Source organism: Homo sapiens, chromosome 7 (assembly GCF_000001405.40).
Source record: "Homo sapiens chromosome 7, GRCh38.p14 Primary Assembly".
Classification (NCBI taxonomy): domain Eukaryota; kingdom Metazoa; phylum Chordata; class Mammalia; order Primates; family Hominidae; genus Homo; species Homo sapiens.
Genome location: NC_000007.14, coordinates 56,051,752 through 56,064,285, shown reverse-complemented (window position 1 = coordinate 56,064,285; position 12,534 = coordinate 56,051,752). Strand labels below are relative to the sequence as shown.

General features: G+C 41.4%; 1 protein-coding gene and 2 non-coding genes across 4 annotated transcripts, besides 3 other annotated features; all 3 read right to left on the bottom strand.

Annotated features, from left to right (window-relative positions):
- Window positions 98–147: a silencer, noted in NCBI's record as "silent region_18195". NCBI's record gives its function as "represses an Ori minimal core promoter by ATAC-STARR-seq in GM12878 lymphoblastoid cells {active_cell/tissue: GM12878}" and the evidence as "EXISTENCE:reporter gene assay evidence [ECO:0000049][PMID:35858748]".
- Window positions 297–12,521, bottom strand: CCT6A (chaperonin containing TCP1 subunit 6A). 2 transcript variants are annotated; one of them, NM_001762.4, is made up of 14 exons: window positions 12,301–12,521; window positions 11,801–11,864; window positions 9,783–9,917; window positions 8,489–8,662; window positions 7,872–7,975; window positions 6,183–6,293; window positions 5,765–5,924; window positions 5,584–5,666; window positions 4,646–4,742; window positions 3,870–4,017; window positions 3,346–3,479; window positions 2,437–2,539; window positions 1,531–1,603; window positions 297–1,273 (listed from the first exon to the last, which is right to left on the bottom strand). In NM_001762.4, the coding sequence occupies exons 1-14, from the start codon at window positions 12,435–12,437 to the stop codon at window positions 1,201–1,203; spliced, it is 1,596 nt and encodes a 531-aa protein (NP_001753.1). In that variant the 5' UTR covers window positions 12,438–12,521; the 3' UTR covers window positions 297–1,200. The 2 variants fall into 2 exon arrangements, with proteins under 2 accessions (NP_001753.1, NP_001009186.1); NM_001009186.2 differs by lacking the exon at window positions 9,783–9,917.
- Window positions 1,516–1,810: an enhancer, noted in NCBI's record as "tiled region #2601; HepG2 Activating DNase matched - State 5:Enh, and K562 Activating DNase unmatched - State 5:Enh". NCBI's record gives its function as "activates a minimal TATA promoter and a strong SV40 promoter by Sharpr-MPRA in HepG2 and K562 cells {active_cell/tissue: HepG2 | K562}" and the evidence as "EXISTENCE:reporter gene assay evidence [ECO:0000049][PMID:27701403]".
- On the bottom strand, window positions 3,684–3,816 carry SNORA15 (small nucleolar RNA, H/ACA box 15). Its single transcript, NR_002957.1, has one exon. It is a non-coding gene; the product is annotated as a small nucleolar RNA, H/ACA box 15 (small nucleolar RNA).
- SNORA22B (small nucleolar RNA, H/ACA box 22B) lies at window positions 8,784–8,921 on the bottom strand. The gene has a single exon (NR_145724.1). It is a non-coding gene; the product is annotated as a small nucleolar RNA, H/ACA box 22B (small nucleolar RNA).
- Window positions 12,346–12,485: an enhancer, noted in NCBI's record as "active region_26049". NCBI's record gives its function as "activates an Ori minimal core promoter by ATAC-STARR-seq in GM12878 lymphoblastoid cells {active_cell/tissue: GM12878}" and the evidence as "EXISTENCE:reporter gene assay evidence [ECO:0000049][PMID:35858748]".

Below are 12,534 nucleotides of genomic sequence, written 5' to 3'. Positions count from 1 at the left end.
ACCCACGGCCCCGCTGCGCATGCGCCCTCATGCACCGCAGCGGCAGTCGACCCCTATGCACATGCGCAGGCTGCGCCACCACCCGCCCCGCACCCAATAGTTCAGCAGGGGGAAACTGACGGAGCGAGGCGGAGGACTGGCCACACCACCTTCAGGACCGCCCAGGGAATTAAGGAAAACCACGTTGAGGGTCCCGGCCGTTCCAGAGGCCCCTTCACTACTTTTCTGAACCTTTGGACAGTTTTCATTCCCCTTAAGATTGCTTTTGTGCGTCATACCATTGCAAGAACAGAAAGGAGGTTTCAACTTAACATTTATTGCACAACTCACTTCAGGCCACTGCTGACATCCCAAAACACAGCCTAGTAACACACAACTTCACCTTCAAGGACTGCAGAGATAGACCAACTATATATAAATAATCTCGTGGAAACGTAATTTGGGTGAGAAAAATATGACGCTAGAGACTTTGCGATGAATATTTTGCCTAAGTTCAGAAGCTTGAAAATACAGTTGGCCTACAATCTCAAATTTCACCCAATAACCGTGGCCCTTAGTCACCACACCTTCCATCATCTTTTTACCTCTGCCTGTTCTTGCCCTTTACAGTTGCAGCTCTCTCAACTCCCTTGCCTCTAGTTGACTCCTCTTCCCATTTCCTACAACTTTGTGGCGGGAGCATTTTAGCAAAGCCATTTCAAAGGCGTTCAAAGTCCAACTGATCCAATGCATTTACTCAGAAATTTATACCAACAGGGATGCTTTCAATATTTTAAATTACTTGAGCATTTATATTAGCATAAAAATTTTAAAACCAAATGCTTAACAATAGGGTAGTTGGATAATTTAACATACGTCCACATAAAATTAAACCATTAAAATTTGCTTTTCAAGAAATATTTAATAACAAGGTAAGTAACATATGCTTATCTAACATGGAATTTTATGTCACTGCTGCTAAAGCAAAACATCCTGTTCACTGGATAAAAGACCTGCTTTATGTGTATACACTTCAGTGCAATTTTTAAAAATACTATAATTTCAGAACTTCCAAATTTCAACAGATGCCAGTGTTCTCTCCTTTTTTCATATGGGAAAATTTCTTTCAAAATTATTTGAAGCTTGGACAAAAATTCCACAGCTGTAATCCTCAGGATCACTTTGCAGTCTTCAAGATTCAGATACAGAGGAAGCTTCAATTCAACCTTTCAGAGAAGACATTCCAGCTCGCATGATCTCATCAACCAAGAGAATGTTGGTGGCAATCACAGTGCTGAAAGGGGGACAAAAATAAGATGGCTCAGATGATTAGGAGCCCTAATTCGACTCAACTTCCCACTTCCAACCAAGCTGCACACATTACATCCAATTAAATTTCCCCCTTCCCCTCTACACATCAGAGGGCTAGTTCAGTTTCCATACTTCCAGCTGATCACATTATTCATGGGGGAAAGGAGCAACTAAACAGAGAACACCAAATGAAAAAAGTATGATTCTCTAACAGTTTAGTTTTCATTTTCCCAAACTTACCAGGAGTGAAGAAGCTGTTTCTTTACACAATAGTTATCCCATACGCCTACTTCTGCTGCCACCATTGGCTCACCTAAAAGGCAACCAAATCTTAAAATAAGTTCAGTCAGTAAGAACCAACAATATTGTGTGCAGCTTTGCTTATCACTGATGACTCATTTCCTCCAGTATTAACTATGAGAATTCAAAGCTTCTCTGTTAGCCCAATTTTCTACTCTAAACCATGACCCCCGTCCACAATATTTGATGAATGTCTGACTTATACTTAGAAGTCCTGAACACCCCTCTCTTCTTCTGGATACATTTCTGTTTACTCATACTGAAGTATAGCACTTCAACTATAATCTGACTAAAATGGACTGATCATTTCCCTCATTCCAGAAACCTTTTCTATTAATGTTGACAATAGGTCTTGCACATACTGCATGGAGGTACCTGTTATCTCCTACTTTGTACTTAATTTGTGTTGTTTTGTTACAGGAACCTAAGATCAGGGCTGTCACCATTTCACTAGATTTCTACATCCCCTTTTCTGGCATTAATTGCTATCTTTAGCTGGTTTTCACCCATGAATATAATCACCACATCTATTTTCTTATCATAGTACTTGATTAAAAACTGAGTAAGGCAAATGCAATATGAAAATCCTTCAACATTAATCTGAACCATCTACCACCACTCAACATCTCCAAAATTGTATCCCCAAATTACTCATGTCTACTCGTCCCTTAATTATACCTAGTCATTCCATTTTTTATTAATATCCTATTTTATCCCATTTTAGAACCCAGAGTTCCCTAACAGCACTGGTGTCAAATTGCAAAGCAAAACATTTTTAATCTTTCCTGGCTTCAACTCACACGTATTACATCTAGTTTTCCCTCTACAACAGTTGCATTCTCTTACCTGTGTTCAGGTCCACACCCACAAGCTGACCTGATTCTGAATGTTCTGCTTGAATTTTAACTAATGTTTCCTGAAGGTCAAAACCAGAGTTCTGAGCAAGAACCTAAAGTAAACAAATTTAATTCTTGAGAAAACAGGAACTAATAACTGATAGTAAAAAAAAAAAAAAAAAAAAAAAAAAGAAAAAAGAAAAAGAAAATCTCGGCCTGGTGCAGTGGCTCACGCCTGTAATCCCAGGACTTTGGGAGGCCGTGGAAGGTGGATCACCTGAGGTCAGGAGTTCGAGACCAGCCTGGCCAACATGGTGAAACCCCATCTCTACTAAAAATAAAAAAAAACCTGGCCGGGTGTGGTGGCAGGTGCCTGTAATCCCAGCTACTCGAGAGGCTGAGGCTGCAGTGAGCTGAGATCGCACCATTACACTCCAGCCTGGGAAACAAGAACAAAACTGTCTCAAAAAAAAAAAAAAAAAAAAACTCATTGCATAAAGACAGAACATTTATGTTCCCTTCAGAGAATACCAGACACAAGTTACTGATCAACTCTCTCAACTACCCCAAACCCAGCAGCAATACACCAGTCATAAATTATATATCAAAACTGGTATATAATAGAAAACAATGATATCAGTTTAAAACAAAAGCAAAAAGCAAGTTTGTACTCAAGTATAACCCCTAATACTGCAAATATTAAACTACAGGTTATCTCTTGCCATCTGCAATGTCAGCTATTCAGGCTTCCCAGAGAAACCAAATATATCTGGATGATGAGGAATACCTGTTCTAGAGTCAGAAAGAAAACTGATCAAACTTGCTTATCCAAAATCCACTTTATGAATAAATCCTACATTATCAGAAAGGTTTGATCAGCTGAATCTTTTGGAAGATTGACTGTTAAAAGCATGCACACCTTGGGAATAATGAGCAATGCATCAGCAAATGCTTGGACTCCAAGCTGTGCCCTGCCCTTTACACTGGGCTTATGTTTAATCAGGGCTTCTGCCATTGCCACTTCCACGGCACCAGCACCTGGAACCACACAGCCTGTTGGATGGGGGAAAAGGAAAAATGCTAAGAAAACTGCAGAACTAATTATGAATAACAAAATATACATATGAAAGCCATTAATTTCTTACAAATTTACTATGACAAAATACAAGTGACTAACATACCAAATAGGAGAATGGTTCAACCAGAATGGCTTCACTAGCCACTGGCAGCTTTCAACAGATCAGTATTAGTTCATTTATTTGTATTCACCTTTAATAATGATATGCTATGAAAAACCTTAGCATACCATCAGTCATTCTAAAGGGAAGACTGCTTTTGCATGGTGTCTGGCTGTGTAAACTACTGATAAAAACACAGTATTCGGCCATGCCTTTCAGACCAGCAAAACAATATAAAAGAATTGAAATACAGTGAGGATCTTACCATCATCAATAGCATTTTTGACAGCCCTCAAGCCGTCCCTCACTGCATCTTTGATCTGAGTGAGTGTGTGCTTATTTGGTCCTTTGATCAATAATGTGACAGAACGAGGGTTGTTACATTTCTCAATAAAGGTAAACTTCTCTTCTCCCTATGTGTAGAAAAAATATGATTTTCAAAAACAGGATTTGTGCAGAGTGAAGAGAGAAGAGGGACTTACAGAGAATGACAAGTAGCATATTAATAAGGAACAAACTTGATCACATTAAAGCAAATTATCTCCTTTTGAAAAATCACATAAAAGAAATGTGATTTTCCCCATCAATGGCTTCCCATTACTACACATAAACCTTCAAAATGTATATAAACAAAAATCTGATCCTGAATTTCAATTAATTTTTCTGCTAAAGACTTCATGAACCAGGCACGGTGGCTCATGCCTGTAATCTCAGCACTTTGGGAGGCTGAGGGTGAAGGACAGCCTGAGCCCGGGAGTTTAAGACCAGCCTGGGCAACACAATTATGAACCTGTTTCTACAAAAATTACCAAGAAAAAAAAAAATTAGCCAGTCATGGTAGCACACACGTCTGTGGTCCCACCTGCTCAGAAGCCTGAGGCGGGAGGATCACTTGAACCCAGGAAGATGAGGCTGTAGTGAACTGTGATCACACCACTGCACTCCAGCCCGGGCAGGAGTGAGACCCCACCTCAAACAAACAAACAAAAATAATTCACGAGCTAAAAGGTTCTATTACCTTTAAGAAAAAAATACACTTACCAATGTATACTCATATACAAGTCCTGCATGTCCCAAGCAGTCAGGACTTAGGTCGTCAAAAGAATTCAGGGCTACCCCACCACAAGCAAGAGTCAGCCTGAAATAGCATTTTAAGGGAGATGGATAAGCAACGTTACCAGTGAATTTCAAAGATAAGACCAGTAATTTTTAGGAAGGAATTTTTCAGAATTACACACAAAATTAAATTTTAAAATGTACTTTAAGCCTTTCCATTTGCCATCAACCAGCTAAAAACTAGTCTTTTCTCTTAACCCTCCATTTAAACCACTCTCCCCAAGTTAGCAAATGAAATCTAAAAGGTGGACAAGAGCTCTTTATTAGCCAGGCATGGTGGCTCACACCTGTAATCCCAACACTTTGGGAGGTTGAGGTGGGTGGATCACTTGAGGCCAGGAGTTTGAGACCAGCCTAGCTAACATGGCAAAACCCCATCTCTACTAAAAAAACACAAAGCAATTCAGTGGGCATGGTGGCAGACACCCGTAATCCCAACTACTCGGGAGGCTGAGAATCCTATGAACCCAGGAAGTGGTAGTCGCAATGAACCAAGATCATGCCACTGCACGAAAGAGCAAGACTGTCTCAAAAAATAATAATAAAAAATTTTTAAAAAAAGCTTTTTATTGTGGGGAGCTCTTTGGAAAAAAGTATATTGAATTCAGAAACAAAAAGTAAAATAATGTTTACAAGGGGCAAGGGGGAGGGAGAAATGGGGAGTAACTATTTAATGGGTATACAGTTTCAGTTTGTGATGATGAAAAAAGTCCTAGAGATGGACAGTGCTGACGGGGTGCACAATGTGAATATAGTTAATGCCAATTAACTATACAGTTGAAAAACCCAAAAATAAAGTATAAGGAAAAAGAAATAATCCCAATTCACTTGCAAAATGAGTAAAAGTCAAATTACTCGGATACCTCTCCATATTTCTCCTTTTAGCTCTGCGCAGAGCAACTATGCCTTCTTTTGAAAGAGCATCTAAGGAAAAGGGGTCAATTCCCTGTAACAAAAATAAAAATTAATTTCAACATCTTTCACCTTAAAAGTAAAAAGGATGATACGTACTATTTAGTTTATACATTGAGTTTTCATTCTCACCTTTTGATTAATAACAACAAATCCTTTATCTGAATCGCCACAGACTTTCCTTTTCAGTTCTATTATTTTTTTAACCCTATCTTCAATGAATTTTCTTTCAGCTTTCACGAGTTTTTCTCTCTCTTCTGCACTCTTGTAAAAAAAGCCAGAATTCACTTCTCTATTAAGAAAAAAAAAAGTTACAGAAAGCAGGGAAACATTAAGAAAGCAGCTTCTGAAACTGGATTAGTCCTAAGATTTAACAGTTCACTGAGCTCCAATCCTGCCCCTTATGCATCTTCAGAGACTGTTTCCTATAGCTCCCCCAAACCAATTTGAGCATTATTGTCCTTACAGTGGGAAACAAAGTTTCACAAAAAAGTAACTCGCCTAAAATACGAAGCTTCTCCATTTCACTGTTAAGGGGCTATAAACTTACGTTTTCTCATACTCTAATGACACGTTACAAGTGAGGATGTATGCATCCTCCACCCTTTTCTTCATATCAGGATGCCGTGCTCCGTGGTCCAAAACAAGCCCTCTGATTAAGCTGTTTAAACACACACAAAATTATGGTTATTGATTTTCAGATGGGTATTTAATATATTAAACACTGAAATGAGAAGGTATTGATATTTCACGCAGTCACATTTTTCTTTTTTGAGATGAAGTCTCGCTCTGTTGCCCAGGATGGAGTGTAGTGGTGCCATCTTGGCTCACCGCAAGCTCCACCTCCTGGGTTCACACCATTCTCCTACCTCAGCCTCTCAAGCAGCTGGGACTACAGGCACCCACAACCATGCCCAGCTAATTCTTTTGTATTTTTAGTAGAGACGGGGTTTCACCGTGTTAGCCAGGATGGTTTCGATCTCCTGATCTCGTGATCCGCCCGCCTTGGCCTCCCAAAGTGCTGGGATTACAGGCATGAGCCACTGCGCCCGGCCTATTTCTTAAATTACCTGAAGATCCTACGCTGTACAGAAAAGTCTGCAGAGATGGTCTCACTGGTAGGCTGTCAAACTGTGATGACGTCCTTTAAAAACATGTTTTCTACCAAGCACCTGTAATCCCAGCACTTACGGAGGCAGAAGTGAGAGGACACCTTAATCCCAGGAATTTAAAACCAGCCTGGGCAACATAGGGAGACTCCATTCTCCACACAGACACACACACACACACACCCCAAAGGGAAAACAAACATGTTTTCTAACTAACTCTTTGAAAAAAATATTTTTTTAAATTCCTCTACTACTTCTCATTATGCTTTGTACCTAGCAATTCAATAAATGCCAAATGACTGATGTTGTTCACTTTTCAGAATCATTCTAACCATAAACATAACATTCACCTTATTTCAGGAGAAAATATTACTAAAAACAATATTCTCCTAGCAGTTTATCCAACTTATATCTTCAGGTAAATATATAACATTTTATATCCAAAGATATTTTTAAAATTGCCATCTCACGCCTGTAATCCCAGCACTTTGGGAGGCCGAGGTGGGCGGATCACGAGGTCAGGAGATCGAGATCATCCTGGTTAACATGGTGAAACCCCGTCTCTACTAAAAATACAAAAATTATCCGGGCATGGTGGCGGGCGCCTGTAGTCCCAGCTACTCGGGAGGCTGAGGCAGGAGAATGGTGTGAACCCGGGAGGCAGAGCTTGCAGTGAGCCGAGATCATGCCACTGTACACTCCAGGCTGGGCGACAGAGCAAGACTCCATCTCAAAAAAAAAAAAAGCCAACTATCTATATTGTACAAAGCACCCCTAAATTTCTAAACACAGTTTATTTTTTGTTTTTGTTTTTTTTTTAATGGGACGGGGTTTCGCTCTTGTCACCCAGGCTGGAGTGCAATGGTGTGGTCTCAGCTCACTGCAACCTCCGCCTCCCAGGTTCAAGCTATTCTGCTGCCTCAGCCTCCCGAGTAGCTGGGATTACAGTCATGCCCGGCACGCCTGGTTAATTTTTGTAATTTTAATAGAGACGGGGTTTCCCCATGTTGGCCAGGCTGGTCTGGAACTCCTGACCTGAGGTGATTTGCCCACCACAGCCTCCCAAAGTGCTGGGATTACAGGTGTGAGCCTCCATGCCCATTAGTATTTCACAGTCTTCTACCACCTACCTTGTATCAGTTTCAGATTTATGTTTCATCTCCATGATCTCAATCATGAAGAGATCAATAGGTTCATCTTGCTTTTTAATGGCCAAAATGGAGTCCACTACAGCCTGCAATTGGAGGAGCATAACCGTTAAGTAAATTCAATTTGCAGCAGAAACATGTTGCTTTTCAGAAGGCTAAAGTAGGCAGTTTCATTTTACAATTCTACACTGATTTAAGTCTTTTTCTATCAGCAAATAGAATACATTATATGTAAAAGGCAACAGCTGAAGTCATTTACATTTCTGAAATCTCCATCTATAATTCCCAAACATTAACATTAATTAACATTAACATTCCTCGTTTTATTAAAAATACTGGTAACTGGAAGCTTTCTAATAAAAAAATCTCCACTTTATAAACCTTTTAATGAAAGCTTCAATTTTACTTTTATAACCTGGTTAGGTATACTATTATTTTAATTTCCTCATTTTTAGAGACACAGATTAGGTATCATTGCCACAAAAATGAACCTACACAGCACCTTGTAATTGAAATTGGTAATCATATTCATGTTTCTACTATCAGAGATTTTCTATATAGGTATACTATACCAGACATAGACAAAATTTAATACATACCTCTGTTAAGACATCTGCAAGTTCAGCATGAACTTTAGTACGAAGAGATGTTCTGGCCACATCTATAAGTGTTTCCCTGTCCATCTCTCTGCTTACTTTGACTTCTTCCAAAAACTGAAGGGCCTTTTCCTTTGCAGCTTCAAATCCTTCAGTGATTATTCTAGGATGAAGGCCCTAAAATAAACACACATTAACACTTGCATCTTCAATTAGGTGCAACCATAGTTCATGATAAAGTTCAGGTAATTATTGAAGGAGTGTTCTGGATCATCATACCTTTGAACACGAGGTAATATAATGTGCTGGCTTTCTGAATACATTTAAAAGGACAAATATTCCTTTCAATGCAGAGCAGATGAACAGGTAATGAATGCTCTAGCACAGGGTCAAAGCCAAGGGAACTATAAAGCACACTTGGGTGTTCACTGTGCAAACCACTCTGAATCATTTCAAAACCAACACTGTGTCCCAACAACTCACAGATGGTAGCATTATCCTATCTTTATTTTCTTTCATTTTTTTTGAGATGGAGTTTCGCACTTGTTACCCAGGCTGGAGTACAATGGCACAATCTCGACTCACCACAACCTCCACCTCCTGGGTTCAAGCAATTCTCCTGCCTCAGCTTCCCAAGTAGCTGGGATTACAGGCATGCACCACCACGCCTGGCTAATTTTTGTATTTTTAGTAGACACGGGGTTTCTCCATGTTGGTCAGACTGGTCTCGAACTCCCAACCTCAGGTGATCCGCCCACCTCGGCCTCTCAAAGTGCTGGGATTATGGGCGTGAGCCACTGCGCCTGGACTATTCTATCCTTTCTATAGGTAATCTCAAACTAACTCACATCATTTACTAATAAAAATAAAGACTGTTCTCTTTCTCCAGGAAATTCTGACAATACATTCATATTCACTGAGGTTTGCTTTAACCTTGGAACTAGTCAGGGCTAAAAAAGTGGAATTTATCCAAATATAAGCTTTTGGTTGCCTTTTTCCTAACAAATATGCCTAGTCCTAAACATTCCATTTTTAGATCTCAATTATTAATCTACACTAAAGACAGATGCAAATCACATAGGCAATGCAACTTGATTACAAAATTATTTTCAGGCCAAGAAAGGTTCTATAACCTGTCCAAGGTCACAATTTGTTTTAGACCAGGATAAAGACCCAGATTTAAGCCCCCTAATTCTACTGTATGACCTCAGCTACTATTAACAGCACATCAATTTGTATAAATATCAGACACTTCCTATATACAAAAAAAAATTACAGAAACAAGAGTTGTGCATACTTCAGAAATGTAGAGATCCGCCTGTTTCAGCAGCTCTCCAATGATTAGGACATTAGAAGTCGTACCATCACCAGTTATATCATCCTGGGCTGTTGCTACCTTTGCTATTAAGGAAGCTGTTGGGTGTTGAATTTGCTGTAAGTAGAAAAAGAATGAATCACTTAAAACAATATGAAGCAGTCTAAATATACCACAGACAAAATGCAGGAAGGGCCTCTTTGAGTGCTATCTACTTGAAAAAGCTACCCAAATGTTGGCTACAAATTACTTCGATTAACTATCATGCACATGCAATTATAATGATTGAAACGTCTTCATGTGTAATTTATTTCCCAGGTTATCTCTACTTTACAGATGAGGAAGCTTGAGGCTCAGTAGAAGTTTACTCAAGATGACAGAGCTACCAGTTAACAGTAACACATAATTGTACATCCTTGCCTCTTTATGGCAAGTGTAGAGCTCTAGTGAGAATAAGCCAGGTATCTCCTAAAGGGCACACACATTATAATTATTTTTGTAGGTTTGTAATTTTTTCAAAGAAAACTGAAAAACAGACTTCTGGAGATTGGAGAGAGGTTCCAATGGGACGAGACTTCTGAGGTGGTAGCAACAATTTATTAGCTACAGTGGTGGTTGTGTGTGTCCATTTTATAATTATTTCTTAAATTGTAAATGTTCAATGTGCTTCTCTCTACCTACGCTGTATTTCTCACACACTAAAACCCAAATAATTTTTTGTTTTGTTTTGGAGATACCCTCACTCTGTCTCCTACACTGGAATGCAGTGGCACAATCTTGGCTCACCGAAACCTCAGTCTCCCAGGTTTAAGCGATCGATTCTCCTGCCTCAGCCTCTGAAGCAGCTGGGACTACAGGCGTGCAGGACCACACCCGGCTAATTTTTGTATTTTTAGCTGAGTCGGAGTTTTAACCATGTTGGCCAGGGCTGGTCGTGAACTCCTGGCCTCAAATGATCCACCTACCTTGGCCTGCCAAAGTGCTGCGATTACAAGCATAAGCCACCACACCTAGCCCCCAAACAATTCTGAAGTCAAGTTTAACTGTGGCTCCACTTTTCAAACACGGGCCACCACTGAGCCCACTAAAAACAAAAACTACACCTCCTAGGTTAGCAAGTCCTTACTAAAGATATTTCATCTGGATGTTGATGGCATGGTATACCACTAGCAAAACCCTACATATTATTCTGAACTCAAATCAGCAGGAAATAATTTCCTTTTCTTGGATTTGAACTGCTAAGTTTTGGGAATTTAGGGATGAGTAAAAAGCATACTCCCCTCAATAATCTAATATTCTCCATCCCTAAGACTTGCAAAGAGACAGATTTATCTCCCCTCCAGTTGGAGATAGAGATGAGACCTAACAGAGAAACTGCTGTTTTAAAAAGAGAAAACCCAGCTGGGCACGGGCCTGGTAATCCCAGCACTTTGGGAGGCTGATGCGGGGGGATCGCCTGAAGTCAGGCGTTCAAGACCAGCCTGGCCAACACGGTGAAATCCTGTCTCTACTAAAAATACAAAAATCAACTGGGCGTAGTGGCGCGAGCCTGTAATCCTAGCTACTTGGGAGACTGAGACAGAAGAATCGCTTGAACCCGGGAGGGAGAGGTTGCAGTGAGTTGAGATTGTGCCACCGGACTCCAGGCTGGTCGACAGAGCGAGACTTCGTCTAATTAAAAAAAAAAAAAAAGAAAAGAAAAGAAAAATCATCCTCATGCATTTTGCCCATGTGATTGTGTCAACCTCTCTTAATTTTTCAAGTTTTAAAATAATTAACTTTAATATACAATTACAGCCCTTTAGCCCGGACTGTGAATGGCAAAAAAGCAGGGATTCAAAGGCAGGGCTGTCAGACTCCAGGCACTCAGGACTATTACTGATTACACGCCACTTCTGAATGTTCTCCTACCTTGAAAATGGACACTGCAAATCTTTCTACAAAGAAAACATTCTACGGAAAATCAAGACCTTTCTGACCTAGCCCAGAGCACCTCTCACCATTTCGTGAAGCAGCACATTGCCGTCTTTAGTAAGTTTGATGTCTCCAGCGCCAGAAACGAGCCTGTTTAAAGGACAGAAATGAACCAGACTATGACTTTTTCAACGATAACTAAAAGTCCCATTAGAAAACGGGCTTTTCCCAGATTTTAGGGAGCCAGGGATGTGGGGCTAGTTATGTCCAGCAGGATGGAGGACAGGTGTAGTGCCCACCCCGTCCCCGCAGAGATTGTGCCGAGTCCTCAGGGTGCCTGGAAGCCCCAGAGGGCGGGGAACGCCGCGCTCTAGAGCCGCTTTGTTCTCCGCGGAGACTGCATCGATGCGGGAAGAAATGGCCGGGACGGTGGGGCTTAGGAGGGACACAGGACCGACCCCGGAGGACGCCGAGAAGGACGGCTGCGCAGCCCCGAGGCGGCGGGCTCCAGTCCGCGGTCCCGGGCCCGCCAGGAGCGCGGCGGCGCGCGGTGCCCGCCCGGCCCTCCGGTTCAGCCCCGCCTTACATCTTCATGGTGCCCTTGGGCCCCAGGTTGGTCCTTAGCACGTCCTGCAGACCCCGCGCTGCGCTGATGTTGACCGCCAGCGCCGCCTGCGCTCGGGCCACCTCGGCCTTGGGGTTCAGGGTCTTCACCGCCGCCATAGCTGCTCCAGCGGAGGAAAAGGAAACGATGCTGAGTGCCCAGAGCCGGCGCGGCGTGGCCGGGAGGAACTATCCGGGTCTTCTGGAAAAGTCGGCC

Coding starts and splice junctions, on each gene's coding strand:
- CCT6A (NM_001762.4), bottom strand. CDS start 12,437: ATGGCGGCGGTGAAGACCCTGAACCCCAAGGCCGAGGTGGCCCGAGCG. Junction 4,743..5,583: donor AAAAGGAGAAATATGGAGAG/GTATCCGAGTAA, acceptor ATGCTATTTCAG/GCTGACTCTTGCTTGTGGTG. Junction 2,540..3,345: donor CATTGCTCATTATTCCCAAG/GTGTGCATGCTT, acceptor TGTTTACTTTAG/GTTCTTGCTCAGAACTCTGG.